General features: G+C 45.1%; 1 long non-coding RNA gene and 6 other non-coding genes across 7 annotated transcripts, besides 1 other annotated feature; all 7 read left to right on the top strand.

The window, feature by feature from the left end:
• Nucleotides 1–2,593: 2,593 nt before the first annotated feature.
• MIR424 (microRNA 424) lies at nt 2,594–2,691 on the top strand. The gene has a single exon (NR_029946.1). It is a non-coding gene; the product is annotated as a microRNA 424 (primary transcript).
• Nucleotides 2,675–5,928, top strand: MIR503HG (MIR503 host gene). Its single transcript, NR_024607.1, has 3 exons — nt 2,675–2,753; nt 4,508–4,591; nt 5,306–5,928. It is a non-coding gene; the product is annotated as an MIR503 host gene (long non-coding RNA).
• MIR503 (microRNA 503) lies at nt 2,907–2,977 on the top strand. Its single transcript, NR_030228.1, has one exon. It is a non-coding gene; the product is annotated as a microRNA 503 (primary transcript).
• Nucleotides 5,929–7,867: 1,939 nt separating the features above from the next.
• On the top strand, nt 7,868–7,964 carry MIR542 (microRNA 542). Its single transcript, NR_030399.1, has one exon. It is a non-coding gene; the product is annotated as a microRNA 542 (primary transcript).
• Nucleotides 7,965–8,697: 733 nt separating this feature from the next.
• Nucleotides 8,698–8,797, top strand: MIR450A2 (microRNA 450a-2). The gene has a single exon (NR_030227.1). It is a non-coding gene; the product is annotated as a microRNA 450a-2 (primary transcript).
• Nucleotides 8,798–8,873: 76 nt separating this feature from the next.
• On the top strand, nt 8,874–8,964 carry MIR450A1 (microRNA 450a-1). Its single transcript, NR_029962.1, has one exon. It is a non-coding gene; the product is annotated as a microRNA 450a-1 (primary transcript).
• A 78-nt stretch (nt 8,965–9,042) lies between these two features.
• On the top strand, nt 9,043–9,120 carry MIR450B (microRNA 450b). The gene has a single exon (NR_030587.1). It is a non-coding gene; the product is annotated as a microRNA 450b (primary transcript).
• Nucleotides 20,082–20,181: a silencer, noted in NCBI's record as "silent region_21010". NCBI's record gives its function as "represses an Ori minimal core promoter by ATAC-STARR-seq in GM12878 lymphoblastoid cells {active_cell/tissue: GM12878}" and the evidence as "EXISTENCE:reporter gene assay evidence [ECO:0000049][PMID:35858748]".

The raw sequence follows: 26,304 nt of genomic DNA, 5'->3' as shown, positions 1-26,304 counted from the left end.
TTCGCAGGCAAATCCCAGAAACCTTTGCAAAAAGCTTGCAATGAAATTTAAGAAGTTCTTCGATTTCGGCGCCATTTTCGAGTGGAGCCAGAGGTGACATGCGATTTTTTAAAAAGGGACTTGGTGGCTGGCGTCTTTCCCGACTGTAACGTGGGTTACGGCAGGCAGAAAAACATCTGGTGATAATTCTGAAAAAAGTGCTGTGGCGTTTGGGGGGGTTGTAAAGCACGTTTTGCGGGCGGGATGGGGGCAAATCTGACATTTAAAGTGTTTAACAAATGAGTGCGGCCGGGAAATTCTCAGGAAACGGACTGGGAAAAAAAAAACAACAACTAACATGGAGGGGCGGGGAGAGAAAACTGAGTAAGGGGCAGTGACCGACTGTCAGCCTCGCTAGGGTCGGGAGCGACTGGTTTTGACAGAATGTAAATGAACTTTTCCTCTTATTTGCAAGAAGTTAGTTATGTCTTGGAAAGAAATGTGTGATTAATTTCACATTGTCTCTCCCGAATTAAAACTTTAAAGGTTGTTTAGTTTTCCCCGTAGGGACTTGACATTGTGGAAGTTTGGCTAGAATGCGCCGAGAGAAGGTACATCGTGTGTTTGGGGTGTGGGGGACGAAGGCATATGCAAAATTAAAAGACAAAACGTTGTAGAGTATGAACAGAGGAAGAGGCGTATTCTTTGGCTCTTAAATCATTTAGCCAAACACATTGCAGTTCAGAAGGGGGTGGGGCTATGGCAACTCGAAAGTATCGATTCTTTGTCTATTGTATCAGTGAATGACCCTCTCCTGAAGTGACAAGACGCCCCTTTGTAATCTCTTTTCGTAAGTAAATTTCAGTCTAAGGGGAAATATGTAAACTAGGGGATCGAGGTGGCTTTTTAGGGGTGTAACTCGTTGTACTATCACTGGGAGAGATGAAAGGGGTTAGGGTGAAAGGTATAAATGAATTTGATTCCAAGAGCAATCTGGAAGGGACCTTCGCCTTTGACACCGATGCTGTTTCGAATGAACTTTTGTTTTTCTAAGTAGTCAACTAAGGAAATGTTAAATTAGGCATGACTTTAACTTCTGACATGATGGCTCGTATATTTGTGTGGAACAAAATGTTGGGAGAAAGTTGTGGAGTTTTACATGATAATTGTACATTTGCTAAACATGTTTTTTTTTTCTTTTTAAGGGCAGTCAACGACATTTTTCTCCATTAATCCCAAAGTCAGTGTAAAAGTTGTTTGTAAATATCATTGCCAAAACAAGATGGAATGTAGAGATACTTGATTGTCGCAATTTAGGGAATGGGGTTATTGTTACTAATGACTTTTTTTTTTTACCATGACATAGTGTATTTGTTACCACTGGATCTCAGTCTGGATGTTATAAATTCGATACTTAATCTTATTAAATACTCTGCACATTTTATTAACTAATAAATAGGACACTTAACATTCATTGTACTGGTTTTGAAAAACCGACTTAATTTGTAAGTGTAACAAGATACTTACAGTTGGATAATTTAAATGTCTATTACTTGTGCTGAAATGTATTTAACTTTCAAAACCATTACAGTTAGTGCTGATTTTGTTGTTTTAACTTTTAGGTTTGTGATTGAGGATTTCAGAGTGGGTTTTTTTTTTAATGCTTAATTGAATATTGTATTCAAACAAAAAGAGGGCATGCATGTGACTTGTTGCTAATATGTGTCCATTTTAAAAAGGAAAAAGTGGTATCTAATGAGTTAATCATTAAGGAGTATGCGCAGTGCCGGCCATTTCAGGACATGAAAGTTTCTGTGGAGCTGCTTGAAACAGGAAGGAGCGACTTGACATCAAGTATTTAAACTTTTTGATTTATGTTTTGATAGATGACATTGATAGGTATAAATTATAAATAAGTTTGAGTAACCAGTTTAATATGTAAACTGGTATTTCATCTACAGAAAGTTCTCTGTCATTGTTTGGAGCTCTTTAAAATAACTCAGCTGGGGTGTTTAAGAATAAAAACACTAGCAGTGAGTTAGGACATCTAATGCTTTTAAAGATAGATGTATATGTCGCAACGATAGTGTAAGAATCAGCTGAAGCTACCGGTGAGGTTTTGGTTATTTTCTTTCAGTCATCTGAGTCCATTTCCAATAAAGGTTGTTTTTTTGTTTCGTTTTTTGTTTTTTTTTAATGGGGACAATGAATGAGACTTGTAATATGCAGCAGGAAGAAGTTTCACCAAGACTTTGAAACTGGCAAGAATGATCCAGATGTCCAATTGCCTCTACTTAACCTTATTCGTCTACCTTCAGAAGTAATTAGATTCTCTTCCACACTAATTCGTATCCCCCATCGCTCTGCTTTTCACCCACTACGTTGTTCCAAGATTCATCCTCAGGGGAAAAAATTGAGAGCCACACTTTCGGCTCCACCTGCAGCTCCTGGAAATCAAATGGTGAAGTTATAAGAAGTACCTTAACTTGGAGTGAAGTGGCCTAGTCATAAGTTTTGCCCTATTCCTTGCCAGGGGGTGGGGCGGGGCTTCCTTCAGTCATCCAGTCTTTATTCACCCGCAGGTACCCCCAGATCGATCCCCCTTCATTGACTCCGAGGGGATACAGCAGCAATTCATGTTTTGAAGTGTTCTAAATGGTTCAAAACGTGAGGCGCTGCTATACCCCCTCGTGGGGAAGGTAGAAGGTGGGGTCTGCCGGACGCGTGTTCCTGCCACCAGGTGCCCGCTCCCCGCGAGGCCGGCTCAGGAGCAGGTAGGTGGGCGGGGGCTCGCGTCTCTGTTTCCGGCGGGTCCTCGCCCTTGTCCACGCAGCAGGGCTGTAGTCCGGGGAGGGCAGTATTCCTGGCTAGGCTGGGGCGCATAGGCGGTGCGAGTCGAGGAGAGACGCGGTGCCCGCGCTCAGCCGTGCCCTAGCAGCGGGAACAGTTCTGCAGTGAGCGATCGGTGCTCTGGGGTATTGTTTCCGCTGCCAGGGTAAGTCTGGGACTGCCGTTCGGGCCTACCCAGCAGGTAAGTCTTAGGCCATCGCCTGCGGTGTCGGCCCCGGGAGCAGCGAGACCCAAGATTGCATCAAACGTTTGCCCCGTCTCTGCATATGTGACTGGACGTGAATGATGCTTCATTTTGGCACCCCCTTTCCCTGCTCAGGTAGAATGTAAACAATTGAAAAAAATCCCTTCCCAATCAGAATACCACCCACAGGACAACGAAGAAAACCTATCTTCAGTCCCCACCCACGAAATGCTGGGGGGTGGGGAGGACTGGAAAAGGAGTAAGGGGAGAGGAAGGGTGAGCAGCTGCAAGAAGTCTTTACACCTCTCTGCGGTTCCTGGTAAACGCGCTCATGTCCTGGGTATGGAAGGGACTTAAGAATTCAGGAAAGATCAAAATAACGGGCCTCTTCCCCACTCCCTCGCCCTCCCTTCCCCGCTGCTGGGGGGTTAGGGAGGCTCCGTGGAGCTCCAGCACTCTAGAAGGATCGGGTGAGGCGCGAGGCCTTGCGGGCGGGTGAACCCAAGGTGGGGTGGAAGGCTCCAACCCGCCCAATCTGAGCCCGAGGCCTGCTGAGAAGCATGGGGGCCTTGGGATAGTTCCAGAATGAGGATGTGCGTTTCTAGCTGCTTTGCGCCCTCCTCCCCCAAAAATCTGCTACCACAATTCCAACCCGGCGGCACGCCCCCAAGACTCCTTTGTCGCCCCAGGGGCGGGACCTGAGCTGTCGATTTCAGGAGCCCTTCGTGACTTCAAAAGTCCTGGGCACTGTTGCTCATGAGTGCTGCACAACTGTCGCCCTCTAAAGCCACCTCCATCCCTCACTGGGCTGGCCTCCTGAGCCTTCGGTGAGGAAACGGGGTTCCGAGTTGCCCGCCTGAGAGCTTAACAGTCTGACTAGAAAAGGGCTAATTCGCTTTCTGTGCAAATCTCTTGAGCTAATTATTTAATCTGAAACATGGACAGGTAAAGGACCATTGGCGGGCGTGGGGAGGGAGGTGTGGAATCTTTCCCACACTTTTTGTCACCTTAAAGAAAAAAAAAAGACACCCAAACTCCTCTGGTCTGAATGGGCTGCCTGGAACTGGGCTTCCCGGGGCCAGGAGTGGGCCCCTAGAAGTTTCCCAGTTTGGGGTGGGGCCGGGGTTCCGAAGTCTAGAGCTGGGAGTCGGGTTCAGCGGCCCGAGACGCTGGCTCTCCCAGACTCCCTTGCGCCGGGGCAGTGCGCGGGGGCGGCTCGGGTCCCTCCCGGGCCGGCGGGGACCCTCAGGCTCCCGGGGCGCCGCCCACCAGCCCGACCCGGCGGCCTAGAAATCCCCATTCTGCTCCCGCCTCGCCCCGGCCGGCCAGCGCAGGGCCCCTCAGGCCCGCAATCTCCAGGCTCAAACGGCGAACAGGTCCCCGCATCCGCCTGCCTTTGCACTTGGGGGTGGGAGAGCCACCTTGTGACGCCCCTTCTGCCTCTCACCAGCTTCCCCCTTTCTCCCCGTCCTGTACGGTTCCCCCTGGAGCCAGAAGGAAGCCCGGTGCCAGCCAGCCTTCCTGAAAGACCAAGCCCGCGCCATCCGGCTTCCTCCAGTGGACGCCTGCAGGACCCAGGTGAGACACGGAACCGGTTGGGGACGCGAGCCAGGGATCCTGACCGGTTGGGGGCGGCGAGCAAGGGATCCTGACTTGGGGGCGTTGCCTCCCGGAATCCAAGCGGCCTTTTGCCCGGGTCTCCCGAGATGCATCGAAATTGAGCTCGTCCACACAGCCCCCTGACTGCGTGATGCCCTTTTCTGACTTAAAACATTCCTTGTACCTTTATTTACACGATCCAAGTTGCAGTGTGCCTAGATTTTCCTCCAAGGACAAAAATGTGAATAAAGCAATATTTTAGCCAAACATTTCTGTGTCAATTAAGAAGATTGCAATTCGTTCCAGACTATAAATTCTCTTTAACAACTCCCTAAGGTATTCTTTTAAATTGTTTTTCAGCGTTGCTAAATGTGCATCATAATGTGTGGGAGACTTGTATAAAGTGAATCAATTTATACTCAGCTGATTAATTGACCCGATGTTACCACCTCCAAGGAGGCACCTTTCCACTATTTTCTCATTTTTTCCCCAACACATGTTATTTGTTAGTGAGGAAGCTGCGTGCACGTGGCATTGTATAAAGTTTATTAGACAGACGTGGCCCTTAAACTAGGAAGAGCTTAGTCTAACTCTAAATCTAAAATTCGACATTTCGGTAAGTTGTGAGACAAGATACCCAGGTTGTTTGATAAACCAGAATTGAACATAATTTTTTAAAAATTTAAATCACAGGAATGTTTTTCTTGAAGGCATCCAGCATCTCCAGTTAGCAGTACTGATTTTTTTTCCCCCCAACAAAGGAACACTACATCAACACTGTTGGCGGGGACCTGGACACAGAAGACTCCTGTTTCAAGAAAATACAATCATCTCTCAAAGGCTGTAATTTATATGCATTTTAAAACTCTAGGCATTGAAAACCACCCAAGTGTCCCAAATAGAAGGGTAATATATAATCAATCACTCAGTGTAATATTATACATCCTTTAAAAATGTTATTGGGAAATGTTTTATGATCTGTAAGTCCAAGGAATCCTCTCCCACCATTTCTTTCCCCCCGCTGTTCCCCCATACCCACACTTCTTTGTTCCAATTGGCATGTAAATTTGGTTTTCCCGCCAAATGAGTCAGTCATGATGGGAACCTCAACTGATTTGAACAGATGTGTGTCAATGTTACTTGGAAAACTAGATGTCAATAACCAGGGTCACAGAAAAAGGCAGTGGTCACAACTCTGTAAAAATGTATGCATGCACACAGACAAGAACTAAAGTGGAACCCCACACAGGAAAACAGTGGGCTGTACTCCAGTGCTGGGACATTGAATGACTGTATGCTGCTTTTGATTTCCGTTAATATGGGCAACTGTCCAATTAAAAAAAAAACTCCTAAGGACTCTGCAGTGCAAATTGTTTTGCTGATTGTTTTAAAACACCATACCTATCAACTCATCAAGGCAAATGGGGCAGCGGGGGACTGGGTTCGTTCCCTGAATCCTGGACTGCTATAGAGCTCAGGGCAACATTTGCAGAAAACCTGAGCCTATGAGATGGGAGTTATAGGCAGCTTTCCTGAGGCTGTGTAAGATGAAAATAAAACTAGGTTCAAAAAATATGTTTGGGGAAGATCAATGAGTTTATCGATAGAAGTTAAAAGACTTGAGTCTGGCTATATGCAAGTTGGCATATGTTTTTAGAGATCTTTTTTCCCATTGGCCTGCAGTATGACTTAATCTCATAACCCTAGAATTTTATATATGCATTTGTATTTAGAGTTATTACATGACTCTTAAGCAAAAAAGAGTATATATACATCAAGTGTAGCAAACGTGTATCTCCCTGCCCCCCTACATCCCACTCAGGCCCACCCATTAGTTACTCCTCAGTGAATAAACAAGGATCGGCTAGCTCTTTCATAATATTTCACCTATCTGCCACCTTTTCCCTCCTCCCCAGCTCCACAGCTGATCTCTTTGGCAAGTTCAGCCAGGCTTAAAACCCCTGTGGGGATAGTAAATTGAGCCAAGAGGGAGGAGCCCCGAAAGACTTCCACTTCCTGTGGTTGCTTGGGCCTTTGAGCACTCCCCCTTCCACTACTGAGCTCTATAATCTGAGCAGTTGGTGGGTGTTTGGAAACATGGCCTTGGCTCCACTGCTGGAGTCAGGGAGCTCAGAACACTGCAGCAACCTGCCAGTGAGAGTCTGGGTTGCTTTGAAGCCTGAGTCTCCCAAGGCAGCTCCCTCACCTGTTCCCCCATGTCCACCCCCACCTGCCATCCAGACAAGACTATTACCCTAAGACCAGACCTTCTAAAGGCGTGGCCACAGAATCATCAGTATCCCAACATCTTGCCTTTGTATCGTGTGTTTACATACTTTTCCAAATACTTTGTTTTTTCTTTTTTTTCTTTTTTTAATTTGTGACAACCTTGAAAGACAAACAGAGTTAAGGCAGTCCAAAAAATAATTACAGACAAGAAAACTGGGGCCTCTGGAGGTTAAGGATTTGTCTGAGGCTACTCTCTGGGGGCTCTTCCTCCAGGCCTCATACTGTGTTCCTTATGTCATTACCTGTTCATCAGAACCGACTATGCAGTAGTGACCAGAGCAGGAAATGGAGGTGAATGTGTTTGGTTACAAAAATTCCCGGTGAAACTGGCTAGTCTTATGATGAGCTTTGGCCTATACATTGGACACTTCCTGGGTGAGGCCCAAGATTGGCCCCAGGATTACTAAATAGTGACTATAAGTTACCCAGCCGTGTACAAGTCAATCTGCACAAACCAAAAAAGCATGATTTAAATTCATTTTAAACCTCTGTCCCATGTTTGTTATTTTCTGTAGATTCAATCAAATTATCTTAAGGAAACAAATGAAGTGTCAAGCTATAGGGGTTGACTTAATCTAGTCACTCACTCAATGGAACCTTTTTCAGCCATTGCAAATAATAATGATAGAGAATATACAGAAACCTGGAAAATGCTTATGATATCAACTTAAAAAAAATCAGGGCCACAAAATCACATGGACACCATGATTGAAAAATAGGAGCAGAACCTGGAGGAAACCTGCAAAACAGACATACTTGTTACTTAAGGGTGGTGGGATTAGAGCTGAAGTTTCTTCTTTCTCTACTTTTTCATGGTTTTGTGTGTGTGTGTGTGTGTGTGTGTGTGTGTGTGTGTGTGTGTGTGTGAGATGCCACGTTTTCTTGTTATGTTGTCAAAATATAATTCTCTAAAAAGTCTTTAGGGGTCATGGGTGATACAGAAATTTGGGATCGGTCAAGGATGCACAGATCTCAGACATCTCGGGGATCATCATGTCACGAGATACCAGTGTGCACTTGTGACAGATTGATAACTGAAAGGTCTGGGAGCCACTCATCTTCATAGCAAAACATGTGGTAAGTATTACAAGACGAATCAATGAAAAGATCAGGAGGAAAGTGGGCCCTAAGCAAAGAAGAAAGGGGTTGCTATGGGATGGGGTGGGAGGATGAGTTGTGTTTTCATAGGAGTGTAATGGGAATGCCTTTATTTGTGTCTTTATTGCTTTAAATGTTTGTTGAATGAATTGAAACTTACATAAGGTATATGATTTTATACTTGTGCTAGAATGCTAAAATAAAGAATTTATGCTCAAGCAAACAACTGGAAAACACTTTGCTATAAGCATTACAGACACAGGGTCATTTTTAGTATGTTGAGTCCACACAAGTGGTCAAGAAAAACCATAAAAACTACATGAACAGAAAGCCCCAGTTAAAAAAAATGCATAAAGATGCTCATTTCAATATTTTAAGGATGGAAGTTAGGAACATCCTGAATGACCAACAACAAAGGATTAGACAAATAAAATACAGCGTAGCTAGCTAGTACAATAGAATAGGATGCTTTCATGTAAAATAATGTTTCTGAAAGTAATTTTCATGTCATGAGAATGTGCTCCTGATAAAACATTTAGCGATTGAAAAAAGGTGCAAAATATTTTCCCATCTCTGCAATATAGGTATATAGGGAGCATTCTGTATGAATAGTTTTGTATCAACATACAGATAAAAGGCTAGGAGGAAACATATAAAAACTTTATTGTGATTATCTCTGAGTTGTGGTATAAAGGTGACCAAAGAAAGATGCTAAACTATTTTTGCGATGTGTTCCTAATATGTAATATAAATGTATTGGGGACATTTTGCATTCATAGTTTTGTATCAATAATATGGGGAAAAGAGGCTATCAGGAAGTATACCAAAAGTCTAGAGGTGGTTATCGCTGACTTGTGTCACTATAGGCAATCAAAAACGATACTAAACTGTTTTTGCGATGTGTTCCTAATATGCACTATAAATATATTGGGAACATTTTGCATGTATAGTTTTGTATCAATATACAGATGAAAAGATGGAGGGAATAAGCAAAAAATCTAACAGCGGCTATCTGTGGTTTACTTCTGTGATAAATGTAAGATGCAGAATTATTTTTGCAATATGTTCCTGAATATGTAATATAAGTGTATTGGGATCATTTTGCATCCATAGTTTTGTATCAACATATGGAGAAAAGTCTAGGAAGAAATATACCAAAACTTGTAACAGTATTATAGTATAAAATTATAGGTAATGTTTGTTTTTCTCTTTATACTTTTATGTATTTTCCAAGTAATATTTGCATAAACAATAAAATGCATTGCTTTTATAGCAATAATAAAACATTTTATTTTTAAAAAGAGTTTGTATTTTTTTTAAAGCATGAACCCCTGACATAAGGGTGGGGGAAGACTTCCTATTTGGCCAGCAGTGGGCCTAGAATACTTTTTCAAACATATCTGGGAAACCTTTGTACAACTTCAGTTGGATCTGCAGTGCAAATGTGTTTTCATTTGCTCTTGGCAAAGAAAAGAGAAAGTATAACTAAAAAATATAACCACGACAGAGTTATAATAGTAATATTAGTAAACAAACTGCTATCTATGTCTAATCAAAGTAACATTTAAAGAAGTATAGAAAGCTGAAACAGGCTCCTTTTCCTCTAGTAGCAATTCAGGAAGGTGGTACTTGGATGCTCGCCCAGGGCCTCAAGACGCATTGGCCAGTTTGAGATATGCCCAAGTCAGGAAAACACCTTATTTAGGTTATTTCCACTCAGCCAACTTCTTGCAGATGCGGGTAAAGCCCCCCCTGCATTTTCCCGCAAATTCAGCTGAGCTCCATAGTAACTCTGGTGTTGCAGAACACATGTGACACCTCAATTTAGGCGATCCTTGTTCTGGTAAGAGATGGAACCATTTGGTCACGTACCTGGCCCATGGTCTGAAGGGCACCTACCAAGGTTTTAGCGTTCCTCAGTGGCACTGATTTGGACAGAGACACATTACAGGAGGATCTAAGTTCCTTCCTATCTTTTTAGTAGCATTTTGGGAAACTGTTCCCCCACCAAGGACATATTTGGCACTCTAGCAAGTCCATATGACTAGACATTACTTTCTTTTTTTTTTTTTTTTTTTTGAGACGGAGTCTGGCTGGCTCTGTCACCCTGGCTGGAGTGCAATGGTGCGATCTCAGCTCACTGCAAGCTCTGCCTCCCAGGTTCAAGCGATTCTCCTGCCTCAGCCTCCCAAGTAGCTGGGATTACAGGTGCCCGCCACCTTGCCTGGCTAATTTTTTTGTATTTTTAGTAGAGACGGGTTTCACTGTGTTAGCCAGGATGGTCTCGATCTCCTGATCTCGTGATCTGCCCACCTTGGCCTCCCAAAGTGCTGGGATTACAGGCGTGAGCCACCGTGCCCGGCCGACATTACTTTCAAAATAGATCCATCATATTCCTTAAAGGAGAAGCTGAGTTGTGAGGCAAATATATATACACATATCCATTTACAAAGATACAGGAGACCATTCCTCCAATTTTCTGATGCCCTGCCCTTGTTCTGCTTAAGAACATACAATCATACAACCAAACTGGTCCCCATGCTTAAATGTGTGTACTCCTCTTTAAGGAGCATAAGCATTTTTATCTGCCACACTCTGTCAATCAGAGCATATTTACTGGGTGCCTACCTCTGTGCTAGTTACTTGTGGATAGAGGAGCGGGTAGGGGAGAAGCGGAGGTTAAGGTGATACTGAGCCAGAGAGGCCTTGAACACACGAATACTTTGTCTGCCACTGGGTACAGAGCAGGGATCAGCTGAGGCTTTGACCTTCGTCTGAGCCAGGTCAGACCACACAGAGAATCTGCTTTGCTAAGCAACCATCTAAGTGGCCTCCTTTCCCCTAGGGCTCACTCTAGTCCCTGCTGGACAAAATGTATGGAATAGGGGCAGAGTGTGGGAGGGACCCCTTTCTAAATGGGAGGTCTCGCCTCTAGGGCTGAGAAAGAGAGAGAGAGAGAAATCATTCCAAATTGAGCATTGATCTTAAGCCCCTTTCGTTGACCAGTGAAAAAAAAATCTTCAGCCCCTGAATTTCTTTCTATATATGTATATATAGAGAAAGACAGAGAGACAGGGTCTCACTATATCGCCCAGGCTAGTCTTGAACTCCTGGGCTCAAGCGATACTCCCACCTCAGCCTCCCAAAGTATTGGGATTACAGGCGTGAGCCCCTGCGCCCGGCTGAATTTCTGAACCAGTGAAATGTCCTAGAATTTGGCCAGTACAGAGATTGCTTCTCAGAGTTGGAAGTATGCCAAGAGGGGTTGAGGAGGGGCAGGTGCAGAAGGTGCTGAGGGCTTCCCTTTGTTAACAGGGTACAAACCCTCATTTTACACAAGTCCAGCCCCTCATTTTACAGAAGAGAAAACCAAGTTGCAGAGAGAGAAAATAAGTTGCAGAGAGGTCGTGCAGAGAATTGGGCAATGTTACAACTTGAACCTTGAGCTTCAGGGCTTTTTCCATTGTAATATACTGGGTCTAAAGGACACAGGGAGTGACTTGGAAAGACTCTATGAAGGATATGGGACTTGATGAGCACCTGCAAAAGTGGGTGGGGCTGGGCATGGTAGTGTTCACCTGTAGGCCCAGCTACGCCAGAGGCTGAGGGAGGAGGATCACTTGGGCCCAGGAGTTCCAGGCTGCAGTGCGCCATGATTATGCCTATGAATGGCCACTGCACTCCAGCCTAGTCAACAAAGCAAGGCCCTATCTCTTTAAAAAAAAAAAAAAAGATAGGTGGGGCCAGAAGAGGCAGAGAGGACAGGGGTGGACATTCCAGGCAGGGGGTAATGACATAAGCACTGGAGGAATGGATGTGGTGTCACCACAGGGCAATCTGGAGGAAATTAAGGTCAAGTCTTCCTTCTCAACGTGGGCTATGCAAGCCCTTGAGGGTATAAGACAGTGTCCCATGGGTTGCCAAAAGCCACAGAATATAGATGGCACAATTTCCTAGAGCACAGCTTGGTATCCATAATAAATAATTTACAGCATTGTTTTTCTGTAAAAACAAGCACAAATTTAAACAGATAAAACTGAGACCTCACAAAATCATTTCCAGTTTGTTGCAGGCCCCTCCAGGCCGTCCTAGGACTCCCACTCCAGTCTCATTCTGAGGGAGTATTTGTGCACTGGTCTCTAGGCATTTGGCTGTTTGTTTTTCCTGCCAGCACTCCTTGTCTTCTGATAACAGTTCCCTGGCTCTTTCCTTTGCTGAACTGCCCCTCCTCCACTGCAATCATGGGATTCTGGAAGGGCTGCCCATCTCTGTAAACTGCTGAGCCTTTCACCAGGCACGTGACCCAGGTCAGGCAAACCACAGTATCCCATCCTCTCTTCCACAATGATTGTGGTAAAGAAAGTTCACGTGACCCCAGCCTAACCACTCAAAGTACTTGCCTGGGATTTTTTTTTTTTTTTTTTTTTTTTTTTTTTTTTTGAGACAGGGTTTCAGTTTGTCACTCATGCTGGAGTGTGACGGTGTGCATGTGGGTCGCTTCAGCCTTGAACTCCTGGGCTTGAGCAATCCTCCCGCCTAAGCCTCCTGAGTAGCTGGGACAACAGGCGCACCACCACACCTGGCTAAGTTTTTTATTTTTTTTAGAGATGGGATCTCACTATGTTGCCCAGGCTAGTCTTGAACTCCTGGGCTCAAGTGATCCTCCAGCCTCAGCCTCCCAAAGTGTTGGGATTACAGTGGTGAGCCACCATACTCAGCCTTGCCTGTTTTTTTGTTTTTGTTTTTTATGTTCAATGCTGAAATGGAGAGAGCCTCCCTTTCTTCTGTGGCTTCTAAACCTAAAGCTGTATATGGCTATGCCCTCCCCAACCCTGCTCTGCCATGTCTCTCACCCGAGGAATATTAGCAGGAGAGAATGAGAACAGCATGCACATAAAAAAGTAAAACATGCACATAAAAGAGAGAGACGACAGACAGAGAGCAGAGACAGAGAGAGAGCTAATGACATTGCTTGAGTCCTTGAACCCAGGTGGTTCTCGCATCAGCTCCACTCCTGTCCCTCAGTGACCAGAGCACATATTGTCCCTTTTGTTTAAGCTAGTCTCATTTATTCATTCAGCAAAACTTATCAAGTACTTTCTAAATGCTGGGCACTATTCTAGGAATGGAAAAAGAGCGGTGAACAAAAGAGACAAAGACCCTGCTCTTGTGGTGTTTCCCTACCACATTGAGTTGTGCCTCTGTCTCTGTCACTTGCAACTGGAACAGTGCTGCCCACCAGACCATGGGAGGCTTGACATGTTGGCCTAAGGACTATGCTATAAACAAGAGGGAGACTTTGCATGTTAGCCCGAGGACTACTATAAACAAGGGCTGGGGGGTGAGCTTTGAATATTTTCAGGAGAGGAATCACATGATCTTTCACAAATGTCTAGATTTGAGGCTGGGCTAAGTTAGAAGCAGTGACTACAAAAAGGCCAGAGTGGCTGGCACTCTGATTTGTTCAATTTTTGAAATACCCTCATGAAGAAGGTGGCCTACTGAATCAAGGTCTCTGGAAGGAAACCCAATTTGGGAGGAAAATAAAGTGCTTCCAGGAAGTGTTCCAGGCCCAGCTCTTCCTGCCCTCCCATCCTTTCCTGGCTGGGTCCTTTGGTTCAGCCTTCCCGGCTTGCTCCACTCTCTCGCCCTCTGCCCGTGTGCTGCACTGCTGCTTGGCTTTGAGGCCGACCTAGCACTGGATTCCTCTCCCCTCGAACCCACACATGTCTGCACATGGAGTCCACATGCCACTGATAGGAACAATGTGAGCTGCAGAGAAGGCTTCCCTCTCCCTGCCCCAATCCACCTACCTTTTTTTTTTTTTTTTTTTTTTTAGATGGAGTTTCACCCTTGTTGCCCAGGCTGGAGTGAAGTGGCGCGATCTCAGCTCACTGCAACCTCCGCCTCCCAGGTTCAAGTGATTCTCCTGCCTCAGTCCCTCGAGTAGCTGGGATTACAGGTGCCTGCCACCACGCCCAGCTAATTTTTTGTATTTTTAGTAGAGACAGGGTTTCATCATGTTGGCCAGGTTGGTCTCAAACTCCGGACCTCAGGTGATCCACCCACCTCGGCCTCCCAAAGTGCAAGGATGAGCCACCACGCCCGGCCTCCACTTATCTTTCAAGACCCATTCCATGTGCCTCCTTCTTTTGAGGACTGCCTTGACCACCCCACTCATACTGAACCTCGTCTGACCTCCTGCCATACCCAGTGTCCAGACACTGGCTCATGTCCATTTTTACAGGTGTGCCTCCTGCAAATCCGCAGGAAGCACCAAGAACCAGGTCCTTCTTCACCCCCAAATCTGTCATGGAGCCCAGCGCTGTTCCCGGCACAGCAGAGCGGGTGCTCCATCCAGGTTGACTGATGACATTGAGCATATAGATGGCCTGGGGATAAGGCCATCTTAATCCTTTTCCTGGGACAGTCCTGGCTTAGGCCTACTTTATTGTCATAATTATTAGTAGCATCTCATTTCACTCTCAAAAGTGTCCCATGATAAAATATATTGTAACCATATTTGTTTAGAGGATATTAAAGGGGCTGTCGTCACAGCCCAGTTGAAGAGATTCCTGATATAGGACAAAGTATTTATACAATCAAAACCACATTATGGCCCAGAATGATGGCTCATGCTTGTAATCCCAGCACTTTGGGAGGCTGCGATGGGCAGATCACTTGAGGTCAGGAGTTCAAGACCTGCCTGGCCAAAATGGTGGAACCCTGTCTCTACTAAAAATACAAAAATTAGCTTGGCATGGTGGCTCATGCCCACAGTCTCAGCTACTCAGGAGGCTGAGGCAGGAGAATCACCTGAACCCAGGAAGTGGAGGTTGCAGTGAGCCGACATTGTGCCCGTGCGCTCCAGCCTGGGCACAGAGTGAAATTCTGTTTAAAAAAAAAAAAAATCAGCATTGTGGCAGGGTGCGATGGCTCACACTTTATAATTCCAGCACTTTGGGAGGTCACAGTGAGAGGACAACTTGAGGCCAGAAGCTTGAGACCAGTCTGGCCAAAAAGTAAGATCTCATCTGTATTTAAAAAAACAGACAAAACAAACAACAACAACAAAAAACCCATTTTTTAAAAAACCAGTATTATGTTGCAATTCCATGCTCTGTCACTTGGAACTGAACGTATTCCTTAGAGAACTCCGGAAAGTCTTGTCTACTCAACTGCAACAGGCTCCCACACACTCTCTGGCACATGAAGCATTAAAGCCACAGTCCAGCCTGTCACAAGACACAGATATTATCTCCATTTATTTCACACCATGGGTATGCAAAATAGCACCGTTATGCACCTCCAGGACTGGGAAGGCACACGGGCCTGGTCCAGGACCAGAAAGAATTCAAAGACAAACATGAACAAACCTCAGGTCTAGCAGATGAAGCAAAGGGTTGCTTCATGGTTCTTTTCAGAGTGGCTTTAGTTTGTGAAAGTCTACCTCACAGGGGAAACCAAAAGAAAAAACACCCTCATCCTATCACCCTTCCATCTTCCTCTTCTACCTCTGTCTCCCCAGAGTTGTGGCTTCATCCTACTCCTGCTCCTAGTGTAACCACCCAATGGGTTCACCATGCCCGTTGCCTAGACAGAGCCGATTTATCAAGACAGAGGAATTGCAATGAAGAAAAAGCAATTCACGCAGAGCCTGCTGTGCGGGAGACCGGAGTTTTATTATTACCCAAATCAGTCTCCCCAAGCACTCGGGGATCAGAGTTTTTGTTTATTTGTTTGTTTGTTTTTTGAGATGGAGTCTCATTCTGTCACCCAGGCACTGCAACCTCCGCCTCCCGGTTCAAGCAGTTCTCCTGCCTCAACTTCTGAGTAGCTGGGATTACAGGCGCCTGCCACCATGCCCAGCTAATTTTTACATTTTTGGTAGAGATGAGGTTTCACCATATTGACCAGGCTGGTCTCAAACTCCTAACCTCAGGTGATCTGCCTGCCTCAGCTTCCCAAATTGCTGGGATTACAGGCGTGAGCCACCATGCCCAGCCAAGGATCAGAGTTTTTAAAGATAATTCGGCAGGTAGGGTCTTGGGAAGTGGGGAGTGCTGATTGGTCAGGTTGAAGATAGAATCATAGGGGGTCGAGGTGTGTTTTTCTTGCTGTCTTCTGTTCCTGGGTGTGATGGCAGAACTGGTTGAGCCAGATTACTGGTCTGGGTGGTGCCAGCTGATCCATTGAGTGCAGGGTCTGCAAAATAGCTCAAGCACTCATCTTAGGTTTTACAATAGTGACGTTATCCCCAGGACCAATTTGGGGAGGTTCAGACTCTTGGAGCCAGAGGCTGCATGACCCCCAAATGTAATTTCTAATCTTGTAGCTAATTTGTTAGTCTTGCAAAGGCAGACTGGTCTCCAGGCAAGAAGGGGTCTTTTTGGGAAAGGGATATTATCAATTTTGTTTCAGAGTCAAACCATGAACTGAATTCCTTCCCAAAGTTAGTTTGGCCTATGCCTAGGAATGAACAAGGACAGCTTAAAGGTTAGAAGCAAGATGCAGTTGGTTAGGTCTGATTTCTTTCACTGTCATAATTTCCTCAGTTATAATTTTGCAAAGGCAGTTTTACTGGCACTCAACCTGGGCAGCTCTGTTTGCCTGAGATACTCATATTCTTTAGAGTGGAGCACCTGCAAGACAAACAGACCTCCCTCCGGTGGATTAAAGATGGCCACAAATTCTTTGACATTCCTCCCATAGAGACATGGGGTCTGCATCCCCTCCTCTTAAATTTAGGCTGGCTTCAGTGACTCGCTGCCCAATGTGGCCAAAGTGGCCTAGTAGCTTCCACTGGCTTCTTGGAGCCTTGAGCTTCCACGTGGGCATCCACCTACTCAACGGGCATCATGCTGGAGAAACCACATGAAGCAATGGCATGGAGAGGTCCTGAGACTACGATTTGGAGAGAAGGAGCTGCTGGGCAGCCCCTAACTGTTTCAGCCCTCAGCGGTGAAGGTCATTCCAGTTAAGATCCCGGATATCGCAAGTCACCCCTCCCAAACTGCCGATTTGTGAGCAAAAGAAATGATCATTGTTGTTTTAACAAACTAAGTTTGGGTGTGGTTTGTTATGTCACAATTGATAAGCAGAACACTCCCTCTTGCCCGTATTAATTTTTTCAGCTTTATTGAGGTATAATTGATATACAAAATTGCACATATTTAATGTATACATTTTGATGACATTTTGCCAATGTGGATTTATCATTTGTTGTAGCATAAATCTGATGCGATATTAAGCTCTATAACAGATGTTTGTATGCCGGTGTTCATAGCAGCACGATTCCCATTAGCCAAAAAGTGGAAGCAAACCAAATGTCCATTGATGGGTGAATGGATGAACCAAATATCCATACAATGGAATATTATTCAGCCTTGGAAAGGAAGGAAACTGAGACATGCTACAAGGTGGATGAACCTTGAGGACATTATGCTAAGTAAAATAATCCAGAACCAAAAGGACAAATATCGCATGATTCAACTTATAAGAGTTATGTCCCCATATGAGTAGCACAACTCATAGAGACAGAAAGTAGAGTGGTTCTTGCCAGGGGCTGGGGTAGGAGGGAGAATAGAGTTAGTGTTTAATATGTATAGAATTTTAATTTGGGATGATGGGAAGGTTCTGGAGATGGATGGTGGTGCTGGTTGCACAACAATGTTAATGTGCTTAATGTCAGGGAACTGTATACTTAAAAATGGTTAAAATGGTCAATTGTATGCCATATAAATATAACCACAGTAAGAAGAAATGGGGAAAAATAAATATATGTTGGAAGGGTCAATTAATTTAAATAATTAATTTAAGAAATTAAATATTTAAATTAAAATATTAAATATTTTTAAAATACTTATATAAAAATAATAAATGGCTGGACACAGTGGCTCACGCCTGTAATCCCAGCACTTTGAGAGGCCAAGGTGGCAGATTGCTTAGGTCAGGCGTTCAAGACCAGCCTGGGCAACATGGGGAAACCCCATCTCTACTAAAAATAAAAAAAATTAGCTGAGTATGGTGGCAGGCGCCTGTAATCCCAGCTACTCAGGAGGCTGAGGCAAGGGAATTGCTTGAACCTGGGAGGCAGAGGTTGCAGTGAGCTGAGATCGTGCCACTGCACTCCTGCCTGGGCAACAGAGTGAGACTCCATCTAAAAAACAAACAAACAAACAAAACAAAACCAAGAGGAGGGAGTCGAAGTGCATGGGGGTCGGGAGAGTCTGCTCATCACGGGAGTCTGTGCTTGAGTGGGTTGAAGATGATGGCCTTACAGGGGGATGACCTGGAGCAGGGAGTAAGAGCCCAGGAAGGGTGAAGAGATCATCCGTGTGGAGGGGCCACCCAGTGTGGCATACAGAGCCTGAGGAGGGCGTCCACGCATGGGGCTAGCCTGGCACAGGTGTTAGAACCTAGAAGGTCAGCCTGGGCAACATAATGAGACCTCATCTCTGCAAACAAATATAAATAAATTAAACAAAAATAAATAAATAAGCTGGGCATGGTGGCTTGCACCTGTGGTCCCAGCTACTTGGGAGGCTGAGGTAGGAGGATCGTTTGAGCCAGGGAGGTCGTTGCAGTGAGCCTTGATGGCACCACTCCACTCCAGCCTGGGCGACAGAGCGAGATCCTATCTCAAAAAAACAGGACCCTAGAAGGTCAAGAATGGTGTCTGCAAGCAGGGTGTATAGGGCATCCACACAGGATGGTCTACTGGGGACTATCTGAGTCTGAGCAGGGAGGAGAGGGCATCCGTGTGGAGGGGCAGCCTGATGTGAGGTCTAGAACCCAAGCAGAGTGAGGAAGACATCCATGCCGGAGGCAGCCAGGCAGAGGGACTCAGAGTCCAAGTGCAGCCAGTAGGATGTCCACGTGGGGACCAGCTTGTCCTGGAGAGTCAGAGGCGGAGCTAGGGAGTCAGCATCTCCCTGAAGAGGCAGCCTGGCAAGACGGTGTCAGACATGAGCCGGGTCATGAGGGCATCTACACAGGGGCCGCTCGGCATGCAAAGCCAGAGCCCAAGTGGAGTAAGGAGGGTGTTTGCCAGGGGTGTGGGGTGGCCTCCTGCAGGTTTCCAAACCTGAGATAAAAGGAGAAGGCGGCCGGGAGCAATGGCTCATGCCTGTAATCCCAGCACTCCGAGGCAGGTGGATCACCTGATGAGGTCAGGAGTTTGAGACCAGCCTGGCCAACATAGCAAAACCCCGTCTCTACTAAAAATACAAAAATTAGCTGGGCGTTGTGGTGCACGCCTGTAATCCCAGCTACTCTGGAGGCTAAGGCAGGAGAATCGCTTGAATCTGAGAGGTGGAGGTTGCAGTGAGCCAAGATTGCGCCACTGCACTCCAGCCTGGGTGACAAGAGTGAAACTCCGTCTCAAAAAAAAGGGTGTGTGTGTGGGGGAAAGGCACCCACTGGGGGTCGGCATGGTGAGCGAGGTGAGGCCAGCCATGTCAGGGGTGGGGCCCAGTGTGGCTGTCAAAGGCCAAGCCAGCTGAGGACACTACTGCCAATGGGTAGCCTGGCCTGGGGTGTCAGAGCTCAAACCGGGGAAGGAGGGTGGGCTAGTGTTTGATGTCAGATCCTGAGGTGTCAGTAGCTCACCCATGTGGTCGGGGGCAGCCTGGCATAGAGTGTCAGAGTGTGGGTGGGGCATATAGGGTATCCATGCCATGGGGTGGCCTGGAGCATTGTTTCAGAGCCCAAGCAGGGTTCAGAGGGCGGGCGTACATGTGGAGGGCAGCCTGGCATGGCCAAATCTTGGCCCAAGTGGGCTGAGAAGGCCATCAATATGCAGAGTGGGTGGGACTAGTATGAATTCTAGAACACCCGATCCTAGTCACAGTTAACACAGCTGAGGATGGGAATGACGTGTCAAATGAAAACCGGGACAATTAGTAAAAGTCTAAACGCATGACAACCCCACCATCCCCACCCCTGCTGCCCTTCCCCATTGAGCTCCCTGGAAACCACCTTATTGCCCTGAGGAGTAGGCTGGCTTTTACTCTCCGTAGCAGATGTCTCTAGTACCTCTTGTCCCTTCCCCTTGAGCCCCACCGATTTCAGCTGCTGAAGTGCACTGTCTTCTACAAGATCAGCCTGACCTCATGCAGGCAGCACAGCGTTTGCCCTTGAGGGAGCATTAAGTCTCTTTCTGCTTTCAGTTTCAAGGCCTTCTCTTAACTGGCTGACTTTTAACAGCAGACTAAACCATTCTCCCTTCATCCCAGGGAGAAGCCTCCATGATGGGGGTGGGGGCTTTGGTTTAAAGGCTCTGGCTTCCTGTTCTTCAGTGGACAATTCTGAAAGCCTTGTGGATGTTTCCAAGGAAGCCTCCTGTTTCCTACAGGGATGACCTCATTCATAATGCACCTTTTTACTGGCTTTTCCTCTTTCCCCGTCTCACTCTCTTGGCTCCCTCTCCCCAATTTCCCAGGACCAACTCCCAGATAAACCACCTGTTCTCAAATCCTCTTCTCAGCCTCTGCTTTGAAAGGAACCCAAACTAAGATAGTCTACATTTGGAGATGCCATAATTAAATGTCTGTGTTCTGGTCCAATTATTTTATTTTATTTTTATTTTGTTTTATTTTTGAGACAGGGTCCCCTTCTGTCACCCAGGCTAGAGTGCAGTGGTGCAATCTGGGGTCACTGCAGCCTCGAACTCCTGGGCTCAGGCGATCCTCCCCTCTCAGCTTCCTGAGTAGCTGGGACTACAGGCACGCGCCACCATGCAAGGCTAATTTTTGTGTTTTTTGTAGAGATGAGGTCTCATTACGTTGCCCAGGCTGGTATGGAACTCCTGAGCTCAAGCAATCCACTCACCTCGGTCTCCCAAAGTGCTGGGATTACAGGCGTGAGCCACCGCGCCCAGCATGGTCCAATCATTTTAGAGTGAAGCCGGCGGACAGGCCCCATTCATGCCACAGAACTTCCAGTCATCTTATGGATATCTCAACCCTAAGTATGGACAGCCAAGATCAGGGCCCAGGGCTAGGACATCAGTGAGGTAAGCAATGCACTCTGAGTGCAAAACGTAAGGAGGCTTTCACTCTCAATTGCCAACCCTGCACTTGCAGGACCTGAGCCTGAGGGACCCCTGACATTTTGCACCCTGGGCTCTCTGCTTGCCTCACCCTACTCCTGGCTCTGGCCAAGACACTAATAAAAAGCCTGTAAGGTTGAAACAAACAAATAGAAAAAAAGAAACTCAGATGAAAAAGAAACAATGCAAACAACAAAGAGCAATTCTTAGAAATCCACAATATTCTCAGAGGCATAAGATAATTTATTTATTCACCAAGAAGAAAAAAAAAGGGGCATTTAAAGAACAAGAAAGAGCTCTAGGAAATTAAAGGTTCAAGATACCACTCAGAGAGCAGAACAAAAAAGGCAAAGAACAGTAAAACAGACCGGAAAAGGAAAAGGACATTAGAGGATTGTTCCAGATGTGATGTAAGAGTGCCAGAAAGGGGGTAAGAAAAAAGTGAGAGAATATTATCAAAGAAATGATACATTAAAATATCCAAAGCTGAAAGACATAAAGTTCCAGTTTTCAAATAATAAAAACACTGCGTGCCCAACAGAGTGAATGAAGAAAGCCCACATCAAGTCACCTTTTGTGTACATTTCAAAAACAAGAATTTAAATAAGATTCCAAAACCCCGTCTCGACCAAAACTACAAATATTAGCTGGGCGTAGTGGTGTACACCTGTAATTCCAGCTACTCGTGAGGCTAAGGGCAGGAGAATCGCTTGAACCTGGAAGGCGGAGGTTGCAGTGAGCCAAGATTGTGCCACTGCACTCCAGCTTGGGCAACAGAGCAAGACTCCATCTCAAAAAAAAAAAAAAAAAAAAAAAAAAGAAAAAGAAAAAAAAAGAAAGAAAGAAGAAAAGAAAAGAAAAAGAAAATATTCTAAGAGATTCCGGAAGGAAAAATAGGTTATACACAAAGGATCAGGAATCAGAATAGCTTTGGATTTTTCCAGAGAAATACTGTGTTGGCAGACAGAAGATAAGGAAGCAATGCCTTCAATATTCTGAAGGAAAATTAACATCTAACAGAGAATTCTATACCTGGCCAAACCAACAATTAAGTGTGAAGCTTGAATATAAACACTTTCAAACATGCACAGTCTCAGAAATTCCTTTTATTGTACTCTTTCTCAGGAAGCTACTGGAGGGTGAATGCAAAATGAGGGAGAGACACCAGCTTTTGTAAATCGCAGGCTAGGTAATTTGGACTAACACTACTGCTAAAAATATCAGAGAAGGTGGACAAAATCATTTACAAATATCCTCAAAAGTATAAAATACTTAACAAGACAGTGAGAAGGTAGTGCATCGAGCTCCAAAGAGGGCAAGAACCCAGAGAGATGAATCCAAATCTTGGGCATCACTTTTGCTCAGAGATAGGGAACAAAAGCCAGGGTCCAGGGTCAGTCAAAAATGGAGACTCTGGCTGAGTGCGGTGGCTCATGCCCATAGTCCAGATATTTGGGGAGGCCGAGGCAGGAGGATTGCTTGAGCTCAGGAGTTCGAAACCAGCCTGGGCAATATATGGAGACCCCCGTCTCTCAATAAATAAATAAATAATGGAGACTCTGGGAAACCATCCCTACTTTGGGGTGGTATCCTGAAACACTCTACCCTAGGAGTAAAGATGACTTGGAAGTAAACTAGCTCTCACATGCATTGTAGCCTGCATTCCATTCATCCGAGTAACCCAGAAAAATCTCATACCCTGAAATTAAATTCAGTTGATTTCAGATAGCTAGTAGCCCCAGACACCTGAGGATAAAAGTACAAGTATTCTTTGGAGGAATACAACAATATCCTGGGCTTCAAACTATTTATTTAAAATAAAATCTAATGTCTACGTCATGCAATGCATGTTTGTGCAAAACCTGGCGCTAAAGCATTTGTAGATGACCTGCTTCTGTGTGAGGGTTTCATCCACAGCGGGGCAGTTCTCTCACTGTGATCTATGGAGAGTCAGCCTTTGACACAAGGGTTTGTAAGAAAAAAAAAATTATTAAAAGAAAAATAAGAAACAATAAGAAACAAGAATATTTATTTATTTATTTATTTATGTATTTATTTGAGACAGAGGCTCACTCTGTCACCCAGGCTGGAGTGCAGTGAAGCGATCTCAGCTCACTGCAACCTCTGCCTCCCAGGTTCAAGCAATTCTCCTGCCTCAGCCTCCCGAGTAGCTGGGACTACAGGTGCCCACTACCACGCCCAGCTAATTTTTATATTTTTAGTAGCACACTTGGTTAATTTTTGTATTTTTAGTAGAGACGGGGTTTCACCATGTTGGCCAGGCTGGTCTCAAACTCCTGACCTCAGGTGATCCACCCACCTCGGCCTCCCAAAGTGCTGGGGCGTGAGCCACTGCGCCCTGCTGGAAACAAGAAATTTTTAAAAATAAGAAAATTTTAAAGAAAAAATTTAATATCCAACACATAATCAAAGATAATAAAATACCTCACATCATGAATGTTGTTTTTTGTTGTTGTTGTTGTTGTTGTTGTTGTTGTTTTGAGACACGGTCTGTCGCCCAGGCTGGAGTGCAGTGGCACAATCTCGGTTCACTGTAACCTCTGCCTCCAGGTAGCTGGGACTACAGGCGCCTGCCACCACACCCAGCTAATTTTTGTGGTTTTGGTAGAAACGGGGTTTCACTGTGTTGGTCAGGCTGGTCTTGAACTCCTGACCTCAAATGATCCTCCGTCTCAGCTTCCGAAAGTGCTGGGATTACAGGCATGAGCCACCGCGCCCGGCCTCAAACACATAAAGATTTAAGACACCGTGTCAGTGGTTTGGGGCTGGTATAATAGAATGCCGTAGACATAATGGCTTAAACAACTTATTTTTCACAGTTCTGGATGCTAGAGGGCCAAGATCAGAGCAAAGCATAGTTCGTGGTGAAGGCCCTCTTCATGATTATATCCTTACATTGCCTTCATTGGTATTTGGAAAGAGAGTGAGACAGAGAGGGAAGCGGTGGGCGGAGACAAGAAAAGCAAAACAATGTACAACAGAGGATATGTTATCATAGTACAGTACCTCACTCAGCAGAGAACAATGTTTATTTAGTCATTTTAATGAAAACACCAAATGTAAATTAAGCAAAACTTGCTAAAACTTTGTTGGGAGGATGGAAAGAGGATAAATGTGTGTGTGCCTATATGACAGTTAAATCCTCATCTTCAATATTTGCCAGTCAATTGGTAATATTTAAAATGTAACATCAGGCCAGGTGTGGTGGCTCACACTTGTAATCCCAGCACTTTGGGAGGCCAAGGCAGGCAGATCACCTGAGGTCAGGAGTTTGAGACCAGCCTGGCCAACATGGTGAAACCCTGTCTCTACTAAAAATACAAAGATGAGCCAGGCATGGTGATGCCCACCTGTAATCCCAGCCACTTAGGAGGCTGAGGTAGGAGAATTGCTTGAACCCAGGAGACAGAGGTTCCACTGAGGCAAGATCATGCCACTGTACTCCAGCCTAGGTGACAGAGTGAGACCCTGTCTCAAAAAAAAAAATTAAAAATTAAAAATAAATAAAAAAATAAAATGTAAAATCAGGAAATAGCAACATAAGTACAGCATTTTATTTATTTGTAAATCTAATTTATCATTTAATTTCTCCTTTGATCCATGAGTTGCATGGAAGTATTAGTTGACTTACTACAATGTGGGAATTTTTTTCTATTTTGTTGATTTATGATTTAATTTCACCGTGATCAGAGAGCATACTTTAGATTTCAAAGCCATTATCCTCAGCAAACTAATGCAGGAACAAAAAACCAAACATGGCATGTTTTCACTTATGAGTGGGAGTTGAACAATGAGAACACATTGACCCAGGGAGGGGAACAACACACACTGGGGCCTGTCGGGGGGGCTGGGAAGGGCGCGCATCAGGAAGAACAGCTAATGCGGGGCTTAATACCTAGGTGATGGGAAGATCTGTGCAGCAAATCACCATGGCACATGTTGACCTCTGTAACCAGCCTGCACATCCTGCATATGTACCCTGGAACTTAAAATAAAAGTTGATGAAAAAAATTTTTAAGACTTACCGTATCTCCCTGAATATGCTCTATCTTGGTGACCATTCTATGTGCCCTTGAAAGGAATGTGTCTATTCTGCTGTTGTTAGGTATACTGCTCTGTAATTAGATGCAGTTGGTTGACAGTAAATTTCAGATCTCCATTATATCCTTATAGATTTATTTATTTATTTATTTATTTTGAGATAGAGTCTCACTCTGTCGCCTGGGCTGGAGTGCAGTGGGTTGATCTTGGCTCACTGCAACCTCCACCTCCCGGGTTCAAGCGATTCTCCTGCCTCAGCCTCCTGAGTAGGTGGGATTACAGGCGCCGGCCACTACGCCCAGCTAATTTTTTTGTATTTTTAGTACAGGCAGGGTTTCACCATGTTGGCCAGGCTGGTCTTGAATTCCTGACCTCATGATTCGCCCGCCTTGGTCTCCCAAAGTGCTGGGATTACAGGCGTGAGCCAGCCGATATTTTTTGTCTATTTGTTCTATCAGTTGCTGAGAGACTGGTGTTAAAATATCTGACTACGATTGTGGATATGTCTATTTCTCTATATAATGCTGTCAGTTTTTACTCATGAACTGTTTTGCTCTGTTGTTAGGTGCATACATATTTAGGATTGTCATGTCCCTAGTGAATCGTTTATTTTATATTATCTAATGGCCGTCTTTCTTTGGGTAATTCTCTTTGTCTTGAAGTTACTTTGTCTTATATTAATATAACCATGAAGCTTTCTTACACTTGTTGCACATTTTTTCCATCCTTTTACTTTCTTTTTTTCACGAAGCATAAATTTCTCCACAAAGGGAATTTTAATGATGGCTCTAGCTTATTCCCTCCCCAAAGGCCAACTGTAGGCTGGGCATGGTGGCTCAAATTTGTAATCCTTGCACTTTGGGAGGCCGAGGGCGGATCACTTGAGGCCAGGAGTTTGAGACCATTCTGGGCAACATGGAGAAACCCCATCTCTACAAAAAATACAAAAATTAGCTAGGTGTGGTAGCACATGCCTGTAATCCCAGCTACTCAGGAGGCTGAGGCAGGAGAATCACTTGAACCCAGGAGGTGGAGGTTGCAGTGAACCAAGATTGCACCCCTGCACTCCAGCCTGGGCGACAGAGTGAGACTCTGTATATATATATATATATGTTTTTTAAATGGCAGCTGTAACCAAATGAAGTGAACATAACCTCAAGATTGTATTTTCTTCACAATAAAAAAGATCACG

Source organism: Homo sapiens, chromosome X (genome assembly GCF_000001405.40).
Source record: "Homo sapiens chromosome X, GRCh38.p14 Primary Assembly".
Taxonomy (NCBI): domain Eukaryota; kingdom Metazoa; phylum Chordata; class Mammalia; order Primates; family Hominidae; genus Homo; species Homo sapiens.
Note: the sequence above shows the minus strand (reverse complement) of the source record. Positions and strands in the feature narration are given on the sequence as shown.